At 44.4% G+C, this 25,693-nt stretch overlaps 1 long non-coding RNA gene across 1 annotated transcript in view; it reads right to left on the bottom strand.

The window, feature by feature from the left end:
• Positions 1-1,659: 1,659 nt before the first annotated feature.
• LINC02568 (long intergenic non-protein coding RNA 2568) overlaps positions 1,660-25,693 on the bottom strand; it is a 47,307-nt gene continuing 23,273 nt past the window's right edge. The window contains exons 5-7 of the long non-coding RNA NR_120375.1: positions 7,854-7,991; positions 6,808-7,044; positions 1,660-2,233 (exon numbers count right to left, since the gene is read on the bottom strand). This is a non-coding gene — a long non-coding RNA (long intergenic non-protein coding RNA 2568). The remainder of the gene's footprint in view (positions 2,234-6,807; positions 7,045-7,853; positions 7,992-25,693) is intronic.

Below are 25,693 nucleotides of genomic sequence, written 5' to 3'. Positions count from 1 at the left end.
CAGAACAAGTTCATACAACTCACAGGACAAGTAGCTAGAGATGATATCGCTGTTGGTCCTGTGGCTGTAAAAATACATCATGGTCTTAAAATCTGTAGCAACTGTGTCTTAAAAGGCACCAGTGTGAGAATATTCATCTGCGTAGTATTCTTTTTTTTTCCAAAAAAAAATTTTTAAATTTAAAGTTCTGGGATACATGTGCAGAATGTACAGGTTTGTTACATGGGTAAATGTGTGCCATGGTGGTTTGCTGCACCCATCAACCCGTCACCTATGTATTAAGCCCTGAATGCATTAGCTATTTATCCTGTTGCTCTCCCTCCCCCTGCCCCCACCCCACAGGCCCCAGTGTGTGTTGTTCCCCACCATGCATCCGTGTGTTCTCATTGTTCAGCTCCCACTTACAAGTAAGCACATGCGGTGTTTGGTTTTCTGTTCCCGTGTTAGTTTGCTGAGATTATTTATTTATTTGAGACAGCATCTCACTCTGTTGCCCAGGCTGGAGTGCAGTGGTACTCAGCACAACCTCAGCTCACTGCAACCTCCGCCTCCCAGGTTCAAGCGATTCTCCTGCCTCAGCCTCCTGAGTAGCTGTGACTACAAGTGCATGCTACCACGCCTGGCTACTTTTTGTATTTTTAGTAGAGACAGGGTTTCACCATGTTGGCCAGGCTGGTCTTGAACTCCTGGCCTCAAGTGATCCTCCCACCTCGGTTTCCCAAAGTGCTGGGATTATAGATGTGAGCCACCGCACCTGGCCCCATTTCATTTATTTTTGAATCACTGTATCTTTTTATTCCCATTTCCCCTGATATCTCTCCCTTAAGCTGATCACAATTAAAAAACAAGGTTAAAACAATAATTCAAGCTTCATTGTTTTAATTTGTGTTTATTGAAAGAGTTTTAAATACCCTGCTCTTATTTTTAAATTGGATGGATAGAATATTTTGTGAATGGTGAAGCCATCAAGCAACAAAATTTATTTTTGACTAACACACCAGAGTTTTTACATCAGAATGTTTTGAAACTACTTGGAGAGAATTCTTTCTCAGATCCTCAATGAGAGCAAGATCTTCCTTTGGGGGAAGATTTTTAGAAACAGCCAAAAATGAGTAAAATCTCTGAGGCTTTAACAGCTATCCTTAGCATTCTCTAACAAGGTTTACACTTTTCTTTCCTAGTGCCTTGGGCAAGCTCCCTTGGGTTCCACCCTCCAATACCCTCCCAAGTATACCTGCTCGGTGACAGGATCTGGGGACAGGGCAGTTACTCTAGGTTCTTCTGTTCATAGGGCCTGCCCTGGCCCTCCTCTAGCCCTACCCTTCTCCATGGGTCAAGGATCTCATGGGCCCAAGTGGCTCTGTCCCACTAGACCCTCCTTGAGGCTCCAGAAACTCCCAAGTTTCCTGCCCAAGAGTCCCCAAATGCATTTTCAGGGCCCGTGTGGCCTCTCCTTCCATCTCTCCAGCCAAGGGCAGACTGCCCTGCTGCTGTGCTTACCCTTGGCCAAGGGGGGAAAGGGCAGCTGTTTGTGGGGGGCTGGGGTATCGAGGGGCATTCACCCAAGATCCCTCGTGGTGTGAGACAGAGCTGGGAGTGAAAGAAAATGGGGGAGGGGAGACCTCGAGGTTGGGGGCCCTCCCCTAATGCTGTATTTTGACTTGGAACTTTAAGGAGTGTGAAAATTCTAAATCTGAACCTGGCATTCCATCTCGTTATGAAAGTATTTGTCAAGCTAGGAGGATAGAACATATTTGATTTCATGTTATGTTAGCTTGATTTATAAGTTTAAATACTGAGGCATGTGGTCCGTGGCCTCTGTTTATACTCTTGCCCTGCATGGGTTAAGAGGCCTGAGCTGGGGCAGGCCGGTTGCTCTGGCCTGGTGTCTGCCTCCCAGCTTGGAAGACCCCATCTTCACCCCAGATCCCAGCTTTTAGCTCCCCCTTGGTGTCCTATTACTGGGCTCAGGGCCAGCCTCTTTCACCCCTCCAGCCAACCCTGGTTCTGAGAGCCCTGGGAAGGGAATTTCAACAATTGGGAACCAAACCTGGTGAATCAGGCTGGGACTCAAGCTTTTGTTTTGTTTGCTTGTGTTTGTTTCAAGATGTGGGAGGCCATGAAAGAGGAGGGCTGCTTTCTTCTGTGGCAGGCTGTCTCTTCCGGCAGCTCCACAAGAGATCTGGGGAGTTGGCAGCAGGCCAGTTGCAGGAAGTAGACGGTAGTTGGAGCTCTACTGAAACAGAGAGATCAGATGTGTCAGACAGGGAGACAGTGGAGCCCAGATTCAGGGCAAGACTGTGAGTGAAGCCTGCAAAGCCATACCAGAGCTAGATCCAGGAGGAATGACTGAGCGCTGGTCTGTAGGGGACAGCAGAACCCCCTAGAAGTGTGTTTCTCAACACTCCTCTCACGGAGAGCACTGTGAGGCATCAGGAGGAGGTCTTAGTCCAGGGTGGGAGTGTAAGACCCCCAGGGGCATGTTGATGACAGCAGAGTTTGTGCAATGCCTCCTGGGATGGTGGGCTGAGTGACTGCAGGACTTCCTTCTGTTTGGGGCCCTGTTCTCTTCTGGACTCACTGCAGGCTCTGAGATGGAGTGTCTGATGGCACCATGAGTGATGAGTAGACCAGGGTATATGTAACAAGGCACTAAAGCAGAGGGCATGCTTCAACTGGCAGAGGTCCTGTTCATGGTCCAGCCCTCCAGCAGCTGTCCTGACTGGCCTCTTCCTTGCCAGAACTCTCATGGCCAATGAGTCCGGACTTCATATTTCTCCACTTACTAAATCTACAGATGTGTACCCTGTCCCTCTACATGATAGGTCCCTCTACATTATCCCGGTAGCAGTGATAAGGCCTGACATTCTAGTGGGGTAGACAGACAAGAAATGTTACTGGCGGCGAATCTGTACAGGTCTGCAGCAACCTCAGTTCTTGCCCCCTCAGAAGGAAGAATTCGACTGAGAGACATAAGGCAGAAGGAGAGGCCGAGGCAAATTTTGGAGCAGGAGTGAAAGTTTATTAAAAAGCTTTAAAGCAGGAATGAAAGGAAGGAAAGTACACTTGGAAGAGGGCTAAGTGGGTGACTTGAAAGACAAGTGAGCTTTGAGCTTTTGACTTGGGGTTTTATACGTTGGCATACTTCCGGGATCTTGCGTCCCTTCTCCCCTCATTCTTTCCTTGGGGTTGCCTGTTGGCATGCACAGTGGCCTGCCAGCACTTGGGAGGTGAGCATGCGCAGTGTGTTTCCTAGAGTTGTACGCATGCTCACTTGAGATGTTCTCCCCTTTCCAGTCAAGTGTTCCTATAAGGTCATATACCAGTGAAACTCCACCATTTTGCCTTTGAGCTCACATGTGTGAGCCCACTCACCCAATTCCTGATCTTATCAGGAAGCTACTGATCACTTGTTTCAGGTTTTTTCCTATCTATAGGGAGACTGCCTTTCCCTGGAGCTGGCTGTGACGGATGATTCCTTAAGAGAAACTGTTAACAACCGCCCGACCATCACCTAATGTTCGCCTGACATTCCTGGTGGTGAGGCGGGGGTGGCTCTCTCCTCCTGTTTATGCCTGACTAGCTGCCCACTGTAACACAAAGACACAGAAACATACAAATGCATCTCAGTAGGACCAGAAAGCAGGGTCTGAGTGTAGAGTGTGACTGGGAGGGGGGACTGTTTTACATGGGGAAGGGGGGATCGGAGTAGGCCTCTCTGAGCAGGTGACATTTGAACAGAGGCCCCAAAGGAGTGAAGGAGCCAGGTGGGTACTGGAGAGAGAAACAGCGTTGGGCAGAAGGGTGTGAAATGAGTGAGGGGAGGGTGGTGGAAATGAGGACGGGGAGGTAGCCAGGGTCCAGACTGTAACTGCTTGAGGGGTTCTTCCTGCTCACTGCATAAACAAAGACCACAGCATTGTAGTAGAGAAAGAGTATGATAGACACAAGCCTGACCACGCCATGTGGGAGATGGAATCTGGACTCAAATCGTGTGAAGCTTCTAAGTTAGGGGTTTTTCAAAGGCAGTTTGGGGGAAGACCAGGTAATAGGTGCTTACTGCTGATTTGTTGGGGTGGAAATGAAATCAGTGGGGGTCAAAGCTGTCCTTTGAAAGGCTGAATCACTCCTGGGTGGGGCCACAGGAGTGGAGTTGGCAGTCCAGATGGAGCCATGGGTGTCAGACATGGATAAAGCCTGGAAAGATATCTGAAAAGGCCAATCTACAATAGTGGTGTTATTTGCAGGACTAATTGGGCAAGCTGCATATCTTATAACCTCCCGAATAATGGCTGACAATGTTTATATCCGCACCTTAGCGGGATTCAGGCTTCTCTCCTCCCCCAAGCCTGATGGCCTCCCATTAGCTTTACAAAAGCAGTTGAGTTTGGCACAAGGCCTATTATTTACACTGTAGCCTAAATGTCTTCCAAATTTAGCTCAGCCCAACAGTCCAGGAATAATTAAAGGAAAGGCAAGATTGGGGGAGGTTTAGCTTAGCTTACTGTTATAATTTTTCTCACTGATATAATTTTTGCAAAGGCGGTTTCCAGATGACCTGGGGCCTCATTGGTTGTGGTGAGGACTTTGGATTTTACATATGGTGATGGGCTATTGTTGGAGGGTTCGAAGTAGGACAGTGATATAATATGACATCCACAGGGAGGGAGTCATTGGGACTGCCAAGCTGAGAATGGACTGGAGGAGGCCAGACTGGATGCCTGGAGGTGCATCGGGAGGTTGCTGCAAACACCCAGGCCAGGGACGCCTGCGGTGTGCACTCAGTCACGTGTTCTCAACCAGACTGTAGGGAGTTTGTGTACTTCTAAGTGGAGGAATATGTATGTGGGTGTATGAGTGTGTGTGTTTATGTGCTTCTAAGTGGGGGTTGTGTGTGTGTGTGTGTGTGTGTGTGTGTGTGTGTGTGTGTGTGTGTATGTAAGACTATTTTCATGAACCTCTAACTAGGGTGAGTTTGGCTCTGTTGCCCAGGCCGGAGTGCAGTGGCAGGATCCTGGCTCGTTGTAACCTCCGCCCCGTCCCTGGGTTCAAGTGATTCTCATGCCTCAGCCTCCTGAGTAGCTGGGATTATAGGTGTGCATCACCACGCCTGGCTAATTTTTATATTTTTAGTAGAAACAGGGTTTTGCCATGTTGGCCAGGCTGGTCTTGAACTCCTGGCCTCAAGTGATTCGCTCGCCTGAGCTTCCCAAAGTGCTGGGATTACAGGCACGAGCCACTGCACCCGGCCTCTAACTAGGTTTTAGCACTCTTTTCAATGATAAATGTAGGCAACAAACTACAATAATATGAGCAGTGCCTGGGACTTTGTCACCACTAGAAATCACAGATGTTTTTATATCACATTACATCCAGTCCCTGCAGCTCTCTGGAAATATTGCTTATACTTATCACTACTTTGGAATTATAATAGTTATTAGACTTGCCACCAGATCTTTTTATTTAATGTGGTAATAACAAAGCACATACATTAATATCTCATAAATCTATTCTTTAAAATATTTTGGTAAATAGATGTTAATATGATTGGTTTCCTTTATAATTCTCTGTATGTTATTTTTTGCATTTAAAAATATTATTTTCATAAAGCGGTGGCAGGAGTTATGTGGACATAGTGTATGTGGCGAGAAAGGGTCAGGTTCTGGATGTGTTTTGCAGGTAAAGCTGGCAGGACTTGCAGATGGATTAAAAGTGTGGAGCAGGAGAGGAGGGGAGCGGAGTTAGGCCTCCTGGGTCTTTGGCCTGAGCAGGTGGATGCAAACCAATGGTGTCACAGAGAAGAGGCAGATGAGGGGAGGAGCAGGTTTCGGGGGCAGGAAATGGAAAGCTTCATTTTTGCATGTTGACTATTGTAAAATGAGGAATGATGATTGTGCTAGGAAGAAATCATGTTTATAAAGCTCCCGACACGTAGTAGAGCCCAGTGGTAGCTGTGATTGGTAACTTGCCCCAGATCAAGAAAGCGGCAGCAGTGAGATGGGAGCTGGGTCTCAAGAGCAGGGTCTAGTAGACAGTCGTATGTATGAATCTAGAATCCGGTCGTATATATGAATCACACTTGATTCACATATATCATGTGTGATATGATTGCAACTTAGCAAAGTGTGTATGTGTGTGAGCAAGGTCTGGAAAATGAATTAATGAAAATGAAAATAGTGGTGTTAGGTTGTTAGGAGGCTTCAGTCTACAGATGTTATTTAAAGCTTTAGGTCTAGATACAGTAAATATTAATGCACCCATTTTCTAGAATTGAGGCTCAGAACCACAAAACCCATTTGTTACCTATCATGGGCAGAGACAATTCCTTCAGCCTGGTCTTCTGCTACTAGTGTTCCCTCTTTGCTTCACCAGGCTGAAAATAACCTAGTGTGGTGGGCTAAGACCCTCCTATAAGGACGACTGCAAAGACGAATTATCCGGCAGAAGCCTCCCTGTGCTAAATCTGGCACCACAAAGAAGAAATACACAACGCTTCCTTCCATGTTGACAAGTGGAACAACTTTCTCCTAATTTGGATCCCTGTGTGCCTGCGGAGCCCATGGTCACTTCATATTCAATGCTGAAATTGAACTGCTCCAGCCACAGTACATTTCAGGCAGAGATTACTTTAGAAAGGTGGTAATTAGCTGCACAGCCAGAGATGTTCTCATATACGACTGCTCACATTGACACTAAACCTCAAACACTGTTTACCAGAAGCACAAGGGTGGTTAGTAATTTTCTCTCAGACACTAACGCCAGGAGCAGTCGTGACCAAAGTGACTGACTGGGCCTCGGTTTCCTTACCTGTGAACCAAACAGGTTCAATGAGGTGTAGTGAACATCCCAGAGGCTCTAAAGTCAGGTTTCAATTTTCTCTGAACTTGCTTGGTCTTGTGTGGGTGCCCTGCAATTCTGGGGAAGGTCCTCATCCAGGGAGGAGGGAGAGTTCCAGGTGAGGGCATCAGGCTTTCTGTTCCTGACTCATTGCTTGGATCTGGAGTAAATCCTTCTATGTTTTGGGACTGCATCCTTTTTAAGCTCCTGAAAAAGAAGGGAAGCTTTCAGAAATGACTGGAGGGATGAATTCTTTGATTACAGAGCACTTGAAACACAGTACAAAGGGCCCAGAATAATTCTTTTCTTGAATCACCATAGAAGTATTTCTCAAGTATTTTGTATCACACGGACCATGGGCATTTGTATAGAGGTAAATGTGATTCAGTGGAAAAAATGTGGGCTCCGGAGGCAGGAGACCCAGCCCCAGTCTCAGTGCTGCCACTTTCTGGGTGACCTGGGGCAAGCTGCTCATTATAGCTACTGCCGGTGCTTACTATGTGCCCGGCGCTTTATAAAAATGATTTATTCCCAGCACAATGATCATTCGCCAACTTACAGATGAGGAGACAAACTGAGTGCAGTTCTCCAGCTGGGAGATGCAGGGCTAGCATCTCGCGCATTCAGACGCGAGATGCCTGGACAGCCTCAACATCCATTCTTGTACCTTTGCAGTCTTCCCTCACCCCTGCAGGGAGGCCTGGGGAGAAAATGCACGTGAAGCACCTGGGACATTATAGTTGCTCAATACACATCAGTTTTTCTCTCATTTCCATGCTAGATATGGAAATGCAAAGAATACAGGCTGGTAGTTCCAGAGAAGATTCTTTCCATTCTCTCTCTCCCCCTGCTTCCTCCAATTATTTAATTCTCACCAGCATTACAGCCATTGAGAAATATCAGCTGGAAGGCAACTCCCCTAGCCCCTCATTCAGGACTCTGCTTTCTCGGGGTCTGTGGGAAGAGCGTTTTTGCTGACCTTACTTAGGACCAGCTCATATCCACTGAGTACTTACTATGCACCAGCTGCTGCAACCAGCACCTCGTGGGCATTTTCTCACTTCATCCTCAGAACAAGCCTGTGAGGCAGATGTGATTGACAGCTCCATTTCAGAGGTAAGCACACTGAGTCTTAAAGAGGGCCGGTCACTTTCCTGAGTCCACACAATTTGCCAGTAGCAAAGTCAGAATTAGAAATCAGATCTGCTTTATTCCTAAATTCTTCATGCCCCTTGGAAAATAGACATTTCTTTGGGCAAACTGGGATTTGCCCATCTGCTCCCAGCTGTCTCCTTTGCTCTCCTGAGAATGCAGTAAAACAAAACCAAGCCTAAAATAGGTTAAGTCTAAAATGAAGATTCCCAGGCATTTGGGAGTCCCCAGGGCTTTAAGTAAACAATCGTCATCAAAGGGAAAGCTTTGTGTGTTGCAGGGCAAAGACACACCCTCTGACTTAGTAATTGCACCCGTGGGGTTTCTGCTAAGGCTATATTTAACATAAAAACCTCCACAAGTATATTTATCAAAAAGTTATTTCAATATCTGAAATTTAGAAGCAATATAAATATCTCAAATAAGGAAATGGTTGGTGAACTACTGTGCATTGACAAGACAGAACATTATGTAACCATTAAAATTATGACTCTTTAGGCTGGGTGTGGTGGGTCACGCCTGTAATCCTAACACTTTGGGAGGTCAAGGCGGGAGGATCATGTGAGCCCAGGAGTTCGAGACCAGTCTGGGCAACATGATGAAACCTCATCTCTACAAAAAATACAAAAATTAGCCAGGCATGGCAGTGCATGCTTGTGGCCCCACCTACTTGGGAGGCTGAGGTGGGAGGATCACTTGAGCCTGGGAGATTGAGGCTGCAGAGAGCAGAGATTGTGCCAGTGCACTCCAGCCTGGGTGACAAAATGAGACCCTGTTTCAAAAAAAAGAAAAGATGATTATTTAGACTACATAGAAATGGAGAAACGTTTATGTACATATCATATATGATTAAGTGTAAACGGTATAAAATACATGTGTGATATGATTGCAACTTAGCAAAGAGTGTATGCATGTGAGCAAGGTCTGGAAAATGGATTAATGAAAATGAAAATAGTGGTGTTAGGTTGATAGAATTACAGGTGCTTTTCATTTTTCAATAAAGCAGTACCTGTTCATGTTAAAAACAATTCAAACAATAAAAAAGGTGTGATCATTAGAGAAATTCAAATCAAAACCACAATAAGATACCATCTCACACCAGTCAGAATGGCTATTATTAAAAAGTTAAATAACAGCTGGTGAGGTTGTGGAGGAAAGGAAATGCTTATACACTGTTGGTGGGAGTGTAAATTAGTTCAACCATTGTGGAAAGCAGTGTGGCGATTCCTCAAAGAGCTAAAAACAGAACTACCATTCAACCTAGCAATCCCGTTACTGGGTATATACCCAAAGGACTATAAGTCATTCTACCATAAAGACACATGTACATGTATGTTCACTGTAGCACTGTTGACAATAGCAAAGACGTGGAATTAACCTAAATGCCCATCAATGGCAGATTAGATAAAGAAAATGTGGTGCATATACACCATGGAATATTATGCAGCCATAAAAAGAATGAGATTACGTCCTTTGCAAGAACATGGAGGGAGCTGAAGACCATTATCTTTAGCAAATGAACACAGAATCAGAAAACCAAATACCGTGTGTTCTCATTTATAAGTGGGAGCTAAATGATAAGAACACATGGACACATAGAGGGGACCAACACACACTGGGGCCTATCAGAGGGTGGAGGATGGGAGGAGAGGGAGGATCAGAAAAAATAACTACTGGGTCCTAGGCCTAGTACCTGAGTGACAAAACAACCTGTACAACAAACCCCCATGACACAAGTTTACCTATGTAACAAACATGCACACGTACCCCTGAACCTAACATAAAAGTAAAAAAAAAAAAAAAAAGAGTGAAGTTGAAAGTATTTCAGCTCTCCAGTGGTAGCGCCTATCACATTTTCTTATACCCTTGTCATGAAAGAGTTTTTACATTTAAAAATATCCTTAATGCTATTTTTAGTTAAAAACAAAACAAGTCTTTTTTTTTTCACAATGGCCAATCCTCATGTCTTTCAGATCATTTGAATTTTTTAAATAAGATTTTACTTTGTTTATTATAATTATTTTTAAGTTCTCACTCTGCTGCCCAGGCTGGAGTGAAGTAGTGCAATCATAACTCACTGCAGCCTCAAACTCCTGGGCTCAAGTGATCCTCCCTCCTCAGCCTCCCAAGTAGCTGGGACTACAGGCATGTGCCACCATGCCAGGCTAATTTTTTAAAGTTTTTGTAGACATGGGGTCTCGCTGTTGCCCAGGCTGGTCTTCAACTCCTGGGCTCAAGTGATTCTCTCACTTTGGCCTCCCAAAGTGCTAGGATTACAGGTATGAGGCACTGAGTCTGGCCTGTTTATTACAATGTTTTATTTTTTTAAATTTTGGACATACAAAAAAAATTAGAATATAATATAATGGTCATATGTGTAACTTCTACCCAGCAAAAAATTTAAAACATTTAAGATGTAGTCAAGGCCTCCTCCTGATTCCTGATTCCATTCCATCCCTCCCTCTTTGTTGATACTATGACTCTCCTGAATTTACTGTTCATCGTATTTTTCTACTTTTGCTATATATATGTATGTGTGTGTGTATCTTTCTTAAAAATATTCTTGTTTTGCATGTTTTAAATTTTTCTCCAATTTATATAATACTGTTTAGATTCTTCTGAACCTTGTTTTTTTCACTCAATATTGTTTTGGTGAGATTCATCCATATTGACAAGTTTGGGCATGTTCAGGGTGGTATGGCCGCAGACAGATTCATCCATATTGATGCAAATAGCTAATTCATCATCACTGCTGTTTAATATTCCTTTCTGTGAATGTAGCAATCTCTGTTGGTGTCTTGCCTGCCTATATCCTCTGAGCACTCAGCATTTCTCTGGCTCCCACTGCCAGCACCCACACATCATTGTCCACGGGCTTTCTTGACTGTTGGAGCATGATCTGTTGCTACATGGAGCAGGCCCAAAAGCCTGGGATTTAACAGCCCCCAGGAATAGCCCTCACCAATGACTGATGGAAGTTGGTAGATAAATACCCCAGCTCCCTTGCTCCTTAGGGAGGATAACTCTGAGGCCTCACTCTACACTGCCTCCTAGAATTTCCCAGCAGGATTAAGCTGCTGTTCACTGCCCACAGTGGTAACTTCCTTGATAATCATCTCAGGCCAGGTTTTCCAGAAGCAGAAACTGAGCTGGAATTTGGGATGTAAGATGTTTATTAGGAATCAACACCTCCAAAAGGAAATGGGGGAACACAGGACTGGGCAGAAGGAGGAGGAGAACTGTGACGCTGGCCTGATAAAGCCTTGGCCAACCTGCAGGGAGCTGGGGAGCAAGTACAGTAGCACCCATTAGAGTGTCTCGTGGTGGACCCAAATGGCTGGGTCTTTATACCTCCGCCTTGCTCAGTCCCTGGCTGTGGGCTGTCCTGGAGTGGGCATGACCTTGGGTGAGGCTGCTGTCTATGGCTGAGGCAGACCCTGGGGGAGCTGACAGCTGGAGGCCCTCTGCCGATGCCAACCCCTGCAGCTTCCTGAAGGGGAATCTGGGCAGCACATCCATGTCTACCACAAGAACACAACTTGTGGCTTGTTGGCTTCTTCCTTAGTATCATATTTTGCTGTCAAACATTTGAGACCACGTCCCACATAAACTACTTGTATCTTTGTCTCAGAGTCTGTTTTTTAGAGAACTCAGACAATGATTAAATCTCAGTTTATCCATCCTCCTATCAATGTTTCCAATTCTGTGCTACTGCTAACTAAGTTGTAATGGACTTTCTTGTATAAGTCTCTTCGTGTACATGTGGGAGTTTTAAGGTCAATGTTTAGAGCAGAGTTCTTGGGTCAGAGGGTATGTATGTCTTCAATTTTGTTAGATGTTGTCAAGTTGCCCTCCAAATTAGTTGTCTTAAGTAACTTGAGTTATATAAACATTCAAAAGTTGCATGGGCCTAAAAGAATTACTGTTTCTCCCTGACTGTTCCTACCACAGAAGATTAGCATCATTGGGCATCTCTATTGTTTGCCAGAGAAAGGCATTCCATGGTCCCAGCTCTGTCATGCTGAGCATGCTTTCTGGAAGGTTAAGCTGTTACAGACTTGTGAGACTGGGTCAGTTTGAGAAAACAAACAAAATCACTTAAAAAAATACTAATAGTTTGTGTCATGATGTTGGCTACATAGACTAAGATGACATTGGTGTAGTAACTATCAAGAATCATATGTAATGGACCATTTTACAGACTGGATAATCCCTCCCACCCCAGACGTCTATGTCTAATCTCTGGAATCTCTTACGGGGCAAAAAGAACTTTGCACATGCCATTAGGCTAAGGAGATTGAGATGGAAAGTTACCTTGGATCATCCTGGTGGGCCCAGTGTAATCATAAGAGGGAGTAAGATGTGACATGACAGAAGCAGCGGTCAGAGAGACTAAGAGAGAGAGAGAGATTGATTTGAAGATGCTATGCTGCTGGCCTTGAAATAGAAGGGGCCACAAGCCAAGGAGTACAGGCAGCCTCTATAAACCTGGAAAAGGCAGGGAACAGATTCTTCCCTAGAGCCTCCAGAAGGAATGTAGCCCTGCTGACACCTTGATTTGGGGATAATACACTTGTGGTGTTTCAAGTCACTAAGTTTGTGGTATTTATTACAGCAGGAATTGGAAACTGATGCCCCAATAACCAGATAAAGAGCCACCCAAAAGGATTTGAGGGAATGGTACTCAGAGGGTACTCACAGAGAGCCTCAGAAAATGCCTCTTCCCAGCAGCCAGAGTGGAAAACCTCGTAATTCAGGCAGCATTTATTAGAGTACCAAGGAGTATCTTGCATTGGTAGGAGGGGGGAAAATTAACCCTAAATTAAATGCAGCTCTGACCTGGCCTAACAAAGTTTAAGAGTAAGACCTGAAATGATCACACTCTTTCCAAGTAACTTAATGGCATCCCAGAACAAAGCTTAAGAATATTTGTATGAATACAATACTATTCAATATCTAACAAAGTAAAATTGACAATATTTGGCATTCAAGCAAAAAGCACCAGGCATGCAAAAAAGCAGGAAAATTCAACCTAGAATGAAGAGAAAAGTCAATTAGTCAAAACTGACCCAGAAATAACACGGATGATAGAATTTGTATATAACACATTGTAAAAGTTATTATTACATATTCCATATTTCAAGAAGCTAGAGGAAAGACTGAACATGACAGAAAGACATGGACGATATCAAATAAACCTAAATTGAGCTGTTAGAGATGAAAACTACAATGTCTGAAATGAAAAATTGCACTCAATAGGACTAGTAACACAGTATACTTTGCAGAGGAGAATAACAAAGCATCAGTGAACTGTGGGATAACTTCAAGTGGCCTAATGTAAGTGGAATTGGAGAATGGAGTCCTTGAAATGGGGCTGGTATGCCAAAAATAATATTAGTCAAAAATGTTCTAAGTTTGAGGGAAACTGTAAACTCGCCGAACTGAGAAACTTAACAGACCCAAGCACAGAAACATGAAAAAAAACAACCCCAAGGCACATCACACTTAATCAAAAGCAGCTGAGAAAAAAGACACATTTATATACAGAGAAATGAAGGTAAGGATGACAGAAGATTTCTCATGAAAGCAGAGCAAGCTAGCAGACAGTGGAATGACATCTTTAATGTACTAAACAGAAAACAAAACAAAAAGCCCTGTCAAATGAGAGATCCACACTCAAAGAAAGTGTCTTTCAAAAACAGAGGTGAAATACTTTTTCAGATCTACAAAGGCTGAAAGAATAACCTCAGCAGCAGACTTAACTCTGCAAGAAATGTTATCGGAAGTCTCACAAGCAGAAGAAAAATGATACCAGATGGAAACATGGATCTACCTAAAGGATAAAGAGCACCAGAAATGACAACTATATAGACAATTTAAATACTTTTTTCTTCTTAGCTAAGTCTCTTTAAAAGATAATTGACTGTTGCCGGGCACGGTGGCTCACGCCTGTAATCCCAGCACTTTGGGAGGCTGAGGCGGGTGGATCACAAGGTCAGGAGGTCAAGACCAGCCTGGCCAACATGGTGAAACCCCGTCACTACTAAAAATACAAAAATTAGCCAGGCGCAGTGGCGGGTGGCTATAATCCCAGATACTCGGGAGGCTGAGGCAGGAGAATCACTTGAACCCAGGAGACAGAGGTTGCAGTGAGCCGAAATCATGCCACTGCACTCTAGCCTGGGTGACAGAGCAAGACTCTGTCTCAAAAAAAAAAAAAAAAAAGATAATTGACTGTTTAAAGCAAAAATAATTTAATAATTATGTAGAGGTACATCTATAACAACAATACTACAAAGGCCCGGAGGGGAGAGATAGAAATATACTGTAGTAAGTTTCTTTTCTTTCTTTCTTTTTTTTGAGACAGGGTCTTAACTGTCACCCAGGCTGGAGTGCAGTGGTGTGATCACCACTCACTGCAGCCTGAACCTCCCAGGCTCAAGTGATTCTCCTAACTCAGCCTCCTGAGTAGCTGAGACTAGAGGCATGCGCCACCACGCCCAGCTAATTTTTGTATTTTTTGTAAAGATGGGGTTACATATTACCCAGGCTGGTCTCGAACTCCTGAGCTCAAGCGATACACCCGCCTTGGCCTCCCAAAGTGTTGGGATTACAGGCATGAGCCACCGTGACAGGCCTTGTTGTAAGACTCTTATATATGAAGTGATATGATATAACTTAAAGGTAAGCAATAAGTTAAAGGTGCATACTATAAATCCGAACACAACCACTAAAATAGCAAGCAAACAGTTATAGCTAATAAGTCAACAAAGAAGATAAAAATAGAGTCATGAAAAATACCCAATTACTTAAAAAAAACAAGAACAAGAGGGAAATGTGAGTAAAAAATAGATGGGAGAAATAGAAAACACATAGCATGTGTTATAATCATGATAAATGTTATAGTGTTTATAATAACCATGTGAATAATCATGATAAATGTAAACAGGCTAAATATTGAAACTAAAGCAGGGACTGCCATGTTGGATAAGAAAAAGCAAGACTCAGCTATGTGCTCTGTGTAAGAAACCCACTTTAGGCCAGGCACAGTGGCTCAGGCCTGTAATCCCAGCACTTTGGGAGGCCGAGGTGGGTGGATCACTTCAGGTCAGGAGTTTGAAACCAGCCTGGCCAACATGGTGAAACCCTGTCTCTACTAAAAGTACAAAAAAAAAAAAAAAAAAAAAAGCACTAGCTGGGTGTGGTGTTGGACACCTGTAGTCCCAGCTACTCAGGAGGCTAAGGCAGGAGAACTGTCTGAACCCAGGTGGTGGAGGCTGCAGTGAATCAAGATCAGGCCACTGCACTCCAGCCTGGGTGGCAGAGTGAAACTCCATCTCCAGAAAAAAAAAAAAAAAAAAAAGAAGGAAAATAACTCAGTTTAAATATAAATAAATACATAAATAGCTTAAAGGTGAAAGGATGGGAAAAGATATGTCATGTTAACACTTGTCAAAACAAAACTAATGTGGTTATATCAATACCAGACAAAATAGATTTCAGAACAAAGAATATTACTAGAGATAAAGAAGATAATTTCATAATGATAAAGGGGTCAATTCATCAAGATGACATAATCTTAATGATTTATATACCTCAAAACAGCTTCAAAATACATGAAGCAAAAACTCACAGAACTGCAAGGAGTTATAGTCAGATCCACAATTATAGTTTGAGATTATAGAACCTTTCTCTTGATAACTGAGAAGAAAAAGAAAATCAGACCAAGTGGTTCAGTTCAACGGGAATGGAAAGTGCAAGAAAGGAGTGATGGAAAATGAGTTAACTATCCTGGAGGGCCAGATAGCAGGCCAAAACATAAAAACAGAGATGAACTCAGTAACTCTGGGGGCCAAGCGGGCGGGCGTGTTTAGTGAACACAAAGCTCTCCTATTACTATCCATAATTAGGACAAATAATTTCCAGTTTCCATAGTCTCAGTTATCCTTTTTATTTTTGTATAAACGATCTACAAGTGTGCACCAGAAATATTGTTGCCCTTTAATCACACAGAACTGGTCTGAAGCAGAATCCTTTGAATTGTATAAAGTCAAGCTGAGAGAATAGTCTGTGACAGACAGGGGACGCATTTTAGTGCAGTGTTAGATCCATCTCTGAGTGAAGCAAGCATAGAAGGCGGAAACAAGGAAATGATGTAAGCCACCATAAATTAAAGGATAGTGAAGAACGAACAGAGGTCCTGAGTAGATAGTCCATCCGTCTAATCATCATCTACCCATCATCCATCCATCCTTCCATCCATCCATCCTCCATCCATCTACTTATTTAAGAAATAATTATTAATACCTCGGTGGAGGAAAGTTCATCTGTATCCTCCTGACTCTTAGTCCTATTCAGGAATAACTGAGACCTCATACCTAGTTTGCCTTTAGGAAAATTACCGTCAAGGCACACACAGATTGTACCTTGGGCGGTGCTCTGGCAATAACAGATATCCTGTTGTGTGAACAATGGTCTATCCTGTCAACTCAAGCCATTTAATTTAATTTTAACTTTAATTTTTTCATTGAGACGGAGTCTCTGTTGCTGAGGCTGGAGTGCAGTAGCGCGATCTCGGTTCACTGCAACCTCTGCCTCCCTCCTGCGTTTAAGCGATTCTCCTGCCTCAGCCTCCTGAGTAGCTGGGATTGCAGGCTCCTGCCACCATGCCCGGCTAATTTTTGTATTTTTAGTAAAGACGAGGTTTCACCATGTTGGCCAGGCTGGTCTCGAAGTCATGACCTCAAGTGATCTGCCCACCTCGGCCTCCCAAAGTGCTGGGATTACAGGTGTAAGCCACCACGTCTGGCTTCAAGCCATTTTAAATCAGGCCCCCAAAACACTGGGTTGTCAGGAATTAGGGTAGAATGAGAGACATACTTAGATCAAATTGTGTTGAAGGAAGAGGGAGCCATTTAGACAAGAGACCCTTCTTCAAGAAGGGATACAGAGATGGATGGGAGTGGAAGTTCACGTCTCTCCCTCTATGTCTTCCATTCCTCCCCTGATTCTGCCTCTTCTACCCCCAACCCAAGAGCATGATTTGGTCCTTAAGAGCCAACCAGCCTCTTAGTTGACAGATGTGTGAACCTCTCTTAGAAATGCTGGAATAAACCCCACTCAAAAAGAAATCTGGAGTCTGGAAGAGAGGATCAGGTTTGGAGTCTACATGCGCCTAGATTCAAGTGCCAGCTCTAACACTTAGAAGTTGTATAATCTTTTTTTTTGAGACAGTTTCACTCAGTAGCCCAGGCTGGAGTGCCATGGCACGATCTTGGCTCACTGCAAACTTCACCTCCTGCATTCAAGTGATTCTCATGCCTCAGGCTCCTGAGGGGCAGGGATTACATGCTTGTGCTACCATACCCAGCTAATTTTTGTATTTTTAGTAGTGATGGGGTTTCACCATGTCGGCCAGGCTGGTCTCGAACATCTGACCTCAGATGATCTGCCCTCCTCCACCTCCCAAAGTGCTGGGATTATAGGTGTGAGCCACTATGCCTGTCCTCAAAGTTGTATAATCTTGATTAAGTCATTGAACTTCTCTAGGTCTTGGTTTTCTCATCTGTAAAATGGGGATACTAACCTTATACAGGTGGTTGAGAGGATTAAACCAAATAACAGGTGTGGGTATAATATTTCCCAAGCTATAACCTTGAGTATCCCCCAAATATCGAATTTTGTTTTTCTGTAATTTAAACAATATCTTGAGCTCCCATTTTAACTACTGATTAAATATAAACAACAATAACAAAATAGTCAATTCTAAGCAAATTCAGACACTTAAATGTGTTTCTTGGTCATTTTAGTTTTAAGCTTGCTCAAGTCAGTATTTTCTCCTTCTCTTTCTTCTCTCTGGGGAGTTCTCCTCTGTCCTGGGGTTGCTCAAGTGTTAGCTCCGTAGTGGAGAGAGACACCTGCCCTTGTTTATTTCCTGAAACTTAATTCATCTTGACTAGCCTTTGGTCCAGAATTTGCTGGCATCTTTTGGGACATCCACACACCTCCCTTACCTGTTACCAGGTCTGCACAAGTCCCTCTATACTCTTTTTGTCCTTCTTAGAGCCTCAGAGACCCTCCTAGGCCATTATCTTTAAAATGTTTTAAATTTACCTTAAATAAACAACTAACAAACCCATATCATCCACCATGACAAGGGTACAAAAAGGAAAACAAAATTCTCTCATCTGTCCTTGTCCCACAGCCCCCTACTTCTCCTCCCTAGGGGCAACCCTTTTTACCAGTTTCTTATGTGTCCCTTCAAAAATAATTTAAGCATATATATATATATGCTTGTAATGCATATATAGTCAATGCATTATATGTATTATATATATTATGCTTGTAAATGCATATATATTATGCTTGTAAATGCATATATATTAAAAATCATCTATCATTGATCTAAGTTCACTATGGACTTTAACTCGTACACACACACATACATATATATAACCTTGTTAACTGCCTTAGAAAACAAAGCCTAAGGCAAAGTTTCTGTGCTAACACTTTATGGAGGGACAATCTCAGAGCACAGCATGAGTCAGCGGAAAATGGAAGTGAGATGGTGTACTAATTTCCAAGTGCTGCCATAACAAAGTACTGCTAATACATACGGGATGGCTTAAAACAACAGAAAGGTATTCTCCCACAGTTCTGGAGGCTAGAAATATGAAGGCAAGCTGCCGGCAGGGCCATGCTTCCTTGGAAGCTTCTAGGAGGAGGATCCTTCCTTGTCTCTTCCAGTTTCTGGTAGCCCCAGATGTTCTTTGGCTTGTGGTGGTGTAATGCCCATCTCGGCCTCTGTTGTCACATAGCGTTCTCCCCTTGTGTCTGTGTCTGTGTGTCTCTCATCTTCTTATAACACCAGTCACCTTGGCTTAAGGACCCACCCAACTCCAGTATAACCTCGTCTTTTATTACATCTGCAATGATCCTATTTCCAAACAAGTTCACATTCTGAGGTACTGGGGGTTAGGACTTCAACATATGTTTGTGGGGGCACAATTCAACCCATAACAGGCAGGAAAGTAATCTCATGATGATGTTGCCAAGCTGGCTGAAGCTTCACAAGAAACACAAAGCATTTGGGTTCACATGGCAGATCTCCAGAGAGGCACATGGGGCCACTGTGCCTCAAAACAGTCTTTTTGGGATGTGAGGAAGAAACGAATTTATCTGCAGGATCTTATCCCCCATCTCTCATTGGTCAAAGTTCACCCACGGGGCTTCAACTCACTCATATTTTTAGATGGAGTTCCTGCCTCCTATGGACGGCCACTAGAGAAGCCAGATCCCGTGGCCCATGGCATAGCACTTCATCCAAGTCAGAAGTGTTGGGGGTGCCTGGGCCTCAGTGGGCCTGGGCGGGGTAGGTCCAGCGCTCAGGTGTAGAACCAGGAAGGGGCGGTAAAGCAAGAGCCTGTTGCAGGGTTGTTCCCAGGGCCAGCCTGCCTTACAATGGCCTCTGAGTCCCAAATCGTCTTCCTTCACATGGCTTGGACTCTTATTTTCTCTTAATTTATCTGTCAGAAACTGCAGAGAATTATCAGGCATCCATTAAGGGCTTAAAGGCAGACTCTGAAAAATTTGACTACGCCTGCGAGTATCAGCAACCATGTGGGAATCTTAACTTCCGGAGATTACTGTTCTCTTTTACAACTTTCAACTGATTTTTATTGAGCACCTACTAGGTGGCAGCCACTGTGTAAGGCACTAGGAATATCGCAGACAAAGGAGCTTGTGTTCAAGAGGGAGAGAGACAATAAACAAACGTTGAATGCAATTCTAATAGAGCCCTGATCGGGGAAATACAGGGAATTATAAGATCCAGCCTTGCCTATGTTGCTATTTATATTCTCTTCTTAACTTTAAAATATCAAACAAGAAAATCTGGAAAACATAGAGATGTTCAGGAGCAGTGCAAGATGCTATATGTTCCTTTTATTACTGAGCAGACAGGAGTTGCACTGAGGGGAAGGGAATTTTGTTGGTTGGAGGGGAGGTAGGTAATAGATACTTTTGTCCGGCCTTGGTCTGGATGGCTTAGGGCATCCTAAATTCAAGGAAACTCAGCCCAGCACAGGAATCTGACTTTATTGTGCATCCTACTTTCTTGGAGAGCTTGTTAAAAATGATAGCTTCCCGGAGCCTACTGTCAGAGATTGATTCCCAATGTGGGACAGGGGCCAAGAACAGATGCTTGGCCCATTGCGGCTTTCAGTACATTTCTGTTGAATAAATGAATTCTAATGCAGGCAATCCGAGGATCACACTTGGATCTAGAGAGAGCGGCAGAGGGAAGTTTCTCCCATCTCCTAGATATTCCTAGGGCCATCCCGTACTTGGGAAAGGAGAAAGGAAACCCTATTCCCACCTCGTGCCTCGTATGTCCTGTGGCCTCCTCCTCCTAGGACCCAGAATTCAGGCTGGCAGTATTTATACTCTAGTTCAGTTCTATTTGGGGTTAAAAACTTTTGAGAGTTGGTCTGGGAACTTAACCAAGATTTATATAGCATTATTTCTATTGGAAACTAATTGAGATTCAAAATGTTTATGAGCATAAAATGTTTTCATTCTTATTATCCCATGTAAACTTTGCAACGTCCTCCGGAGCAGATATTGTAATTATTTTCGTCTTATAATGGAGGAAACTGTTGTTAGTGACTTAAGTGGAATGTTAACAGTCCCTTCACTGCACTTTCACGATTCCATTGCCCACTAAATCTTAGGCCTGTGAACACCTTTCTTCAGATATAATAAACTCAGGAACGGAAGCAGGGTCCAGGCATCTGTTTTTCCTGTCTTTGTATCTGTTGTATCTTCGAGCTGGTCTTTTCTCTGATCATCCACTTTGCTGGTTGTGTGTGCTTGGTGGGGGCTTTGGGTGAAGCCCCTGCAGAAGCTGCTTCAACCCTAGCCCTTCATTCAAGTCTTCGGGGCGGGGGTTAATTCTTAATTCGAATAGCACTGGGAGTAGGTTTGGAGGAGTGGGTTGAGGGCGGGTTAAGGAGTTTGAACCATGTCTGTAAGCCAATCGTTTCATCCTTGGTTGTGCCTCAAAATCACTTATGCCCAATCTTTTAAAAACACACAGGCTGGGGTCCAAGACCAGTTCTACGAATCAGATTCTATGGTGGGATGGGGAGTGGGGCCTGGGCATCGGAATTTGAATTTAGGTCATTCTGTCACCTAGCAGGGTTGACATTCTTGCTGTAGGCATGCAGGCAGTGAGTGCGTAGTTATTGAAGGAAGGGAGTGACAGCACTGTTTTAGGAAGATTAATTTGGCAATTGTAGGAGGGAGAGAGGGGAAAGGAAGAAAATTGGAGGCAGGGAAACTAGTTAGGAGGCTCCAGAAATAGACTGGGGATAGATGTGCTAAGACCTGAAACTGGCTGGTGATGGGAACACCATGTGGAAGGCAGTTGGAAGGGCTCTGTGACACTTGGGTGTGGGCCGAGGGTCAGGGAGTGAAGAAAGAAAGACAATAAGTCAATGGTTTTCAGCAAAACCCACTAAAGCAAACACTTTACTTTCTCCAGTCATCAATTCTTTATTCGGGAAGTGAAACCTACAGCAATGGATTTGGTGTTTCCTTACTGTCAGCAAGGCTCAGTGATCAATAGTCAGTCTAGGCTTTGTGATTCTCTCTCTCTCTCTGTCTCTATCTTTCGACGGAGTCTTGCTCTGTCGCCCAGGCTGCAGTGCAGTGGCGCGATCTCCGCTCACTGCAAGCTCCGCCTCCTGGGTTCACGCAGCCATTCTCCCGCCTCAGCCTCGCGAGTAGCTGGGACTACAGGCGCCCGCGACCACGCCCGGCTAATTTTTTTCTTTCTTTTCTTTTCTTTTTTTTTTTTTTTTTTTGTATTTTTAGTACAGACGGGGTTTCGCTGTGTTAGCTAGGATGGTCTGGATCTCCCTACGTCGTGATCCGCCCGCCTCGGCCTCCCAAAGTGTTGGAATTACAGACGTGAGCCACGGCGCCCAGCCTGCCTGCTTTCTTCCTTTCTTTTCTTTTCTTTCTTTTCTTTATCTCTCTCTCTCTCTCTCCCTCTCCCTGCCTTCCTTCTTCTCTTCTCTTCTCTTCTCTCCCCTCCTCTCCTCTTCTTTCTTTCTTTTTTTCTTCCTTTTCTTTCTCTCCTTTCTTCCTTCCTTTTTTTTTTTTTTTTTGAGACGGAGTTTCACTCTATTGCCCAGGCTGGAGTGCAGTGGCACATCGTGACTCACTGCAATCTCCACCTCCAGGGTTCAAGTGATTCTCCTGCCTCAGCCTCCCAAGTAACTGGGATTACACACGCCCACCACCATGCCCGGCTAATTTTGTATTTTTAGTAGCGACGGGGTTTTGCCATGTTCGCCAGGCTGGTCTTGAACTCCTGACCTCAGATGATCCACCCGCCTTGGCCTCCCAAAGTGTTGGGATTACAGGCATGAGCCACCATACCCGGCCCTCCCTCCTTTCCTTCCCCTTCCTCCTTTCCTTCCTTCCTTCCCTCCTTCCTTCCTTCCTCTCTCACTCTCTTTTTCTTTCTTCTTTTCTTCTCCTTTCTTTTTCTTTCTTTCTTCTTTTCTTGAGACATGGTCTCACTCCAATGCCCAGGCTGGAGTGCAGTGGCACGATCATGGCTCACTGTAGCCTCGACCTCCAGGGCTCAACTGATCCTCCCACTTCAGCGTCCCTAGTAGTTGGGACTACAGGCACACGCCACCACACCTGGTTAAAATTTTTTGTATTTTTAGTAGAGACAGAGTTGCACCATGTTGTCCAGGCTGGTCTCAAACTCCTAGGCTCAAGTGATCCTCCCGCCTCTGCTTCCCAAAATGCAGGGATTGCAGGCATGAGCCACTGCGCCCAGCCACGGGCTACAGTTATTTTCTAGAAGGATTCAGCAGTGTGTCAACAGGGATGCAAAGCCACAGGAAAAACATGGTGTCTCTCTTTAGAGCAAGGTTTAACAAACTTTGACTATAAAGGACCAGTAGTAAATATTTTAGGCTTTTCAGGCTACATAGTTTCTGTAGCAACTATCTAACTGCTGTCATAGCGTCAAAGCAGCCATGACAATATCCAAGTGAATAGGCATCGTTGTTGTTCCAATAAAACATTATTTACAAAAACAGGTGCTAAGTTGGATTTAAGCCTCGCAGGCTTAAGTCTGCAGGTTATAGCTGGCCGACGCCTGGTCTAGAGCACCGATGTTACTGGAAGATTTCAAGGGAATTTTTTTTTCTAATTTTTTTTTTTTTTTTTTTTTGGTGATGAGGTCTTGCTCTGTCATCCAGGCTGGAGTGTAATGGTGTGAATTCGGCTCACAGCAGCCTCAACCTCCCAGGCTTAAGCCGTCCTCCCACCTCAGCCTCCCAAGTAGCTGGGACTGCAGGCGTGTGCCACCATACTTGGCTAACTAAAAATTTTTTTGTAGAGATAGGGTCTCCCTATGTTGCCCAGGCTAGTCTCAAACTCTTGGACTCAAGCAGTCCTCCTACCTCAGCCCCCACAAAGTGTTGGGATTACAGGCGTGAGCCTGGCATAAACATTATTTTTGAAACCCAAGTTTTTACACGGTCTCCAATTTCTAGCGTCACCTTCTGTTTAACATCTGTGTTAGGCCATTCCTGCATTGCTATAAGGAAATATCTGAGACTGGGTAATATATAAAAAAAGAGGTTTAATTGGCTCACTGTTCTTCAGGCCATATAAGAAGCATGATGCTGGCATCTGTTTGGCTCCTGGGGAGGCCTCAGGAAGCTTCCAATCATGGCAGAAGGTGAAGGGGTAGCAGGCATCTCACATGGTGGGAGCGGGAGCAAGAGAACCAGTGGCAGGGAGGTGCCACACACTTTTAAACAACCAGATCTCGTGAAAACTCACCCACTATTGCAAGGACAGCACAAAGCCACGAGGGAGCTGTGCCCATGATCCAATCATCTCCCACCAGGCCCCACCTCCAACATTGGGGATTACAATTCAACATGAGATATGACGGGGACACAGATCCATATCAACATCCAACCAGTACTGTTCTGCAAATGCAGGCTGTGCAGTGCACAAAGGCAGCTAAGCAAGGGGACAGGTGGGGGCTTGAACCAGCCTGGTAACATGTGCAGTGTGGAAGAAAGGGGTGCATTTCGTAATTCATTGTTCAGATGAGCTCCTTTTGTGTGGTTTGCATAAGAGCATCATATATGCTAGTCACAGCCTTGACATGCTCCACACTCTCACGTGACCTGACTTCAGTAAGTCAGTCTGTCCCCCTCTGCAGTACTTCTTGAAGTCCTGAGAAGGGAACAGTTTCTGTTTCTCAAGTGATGTTGAGCTTGTTTGCCAGGTGTTGGCTTGCTGCCTCTCTATCGGTCACTGTTGGCCACCTTGGGACCCCTTTTCCAAGCTGCTCCACCTGGTCCACCTTCTCACAAAGGTAGACTGAGGCCTCCCTCTGACTTCAGGTACTTGTCAGACAAGGCCAGCAGGGGTACTAGACCAGGCCAAGGCTCGAAGCAAACATAAAAGAGTTATAGCTAAAAACCAGAAACCTCAACATCAGACATCACATGTGTCTTGGTTGAAGCCAGCTTTTTTAGATCATTCATCAGTCACAATACCTGGTTAGAAAAACCTGAATTCGTTTACCTGTTTCAGACCTCCCTTCAGAAGTAGAAGCCTCATGTCTGATGATCTGATGGACTTATCAGCTTTACGCCTTCCGCTAAACAAATGGGGATTTTTTTTTTTTTTTTTTTTTTTGAGACAGAGTTTCGCTCTGTCACCCAGGCTGGAGTGCAGTGGCGCAGTCTCGGCTCACTGCAACCTCCACCTCTCAGGTTCAAATGATTCTCCTGCTTCAGCCTCCCGAGTAGCCGGGATTACAGGCGCCTGCCATCACGCCCAGCTAATTTTTGTATTTTTAGTAGAGACGGGGTTTCACCAGGTTGGCCAGGCTTGTTTTAAACTCCTGACCTCAGGTGATCTGCCCACCTCAGCCTCCCAAAGTGCTGGGATTACAGGCGTGAGCCACCGCGCCTGGCCCAAATGGAGATTTTTAAAAAACGAAACTAAATGTACAATTGTATACATTTTGAAAACAAAACACAAACCTTGGAAGAAATTTTGCATTTTCTATAAGTATCTTTGAGCCATGGTCCTGGGTTTCTGGGTGCAAAGCCACTGGGCTCTGTCTGCCATTAGAGACGCTTCAGTAGAAAACCCTGAGAAGCCCTGAGTTAAGTACTTTCATCTTATTTAGCACGGATGCACTGACTTCTTAGAAACTGCGTATCTGGTATCAAACATGAATGCCTTTGGCCAGTTTAAATGAGTTCCCATTTTCTTTTTGAAACTCCATCCTCATTTTCCTACTGATAGATTTGGCTTACTGCTTTGAGGCTCTGAAGTTTGAGGCTGCTTGCTTTAGGAAAATCTAGCTCCTTGCCATGGCTGCACATTGGTTCTCCTGAAAGTGTAAGGGCTTATTTTCTCTTGGAAATTCTGGGTCCTTATAAACCCAAAATCTGATGTGCTCATTCAGGTCTTAGGGCTTCCAGACCCAGAGCTCACCATGCACCTGCACCCAGCAGTGACTCTTCTGCCTTTCCCAGGGAGCGAGGCTTCATTGTCAGAGGAAGGGGCAGGAGGGACATCTTGTCCTTTGCCCAATCCCTGAACTTGGAGAGCCTCTCTTGTCCCTGCTTTGTCTGTGAAGCGG

This window comes from Homo sapiens, chromosome 15, assembly GCF_000001405.40.
Source record: "Homo sapiens chromosome 15, GRCh38.p14 Primary Assembly".
Lineage (NCBI taxonomy): Eukaryota > Metazoa > Chordata > Mammalia > Primates > Hominidae > Homo > Homo sapiens.
The sequence above is the reverse complement of the archived record's forward strand: the minus strand, read 5'-3'. Positions and strand labels throughout refer to the sequence as shown.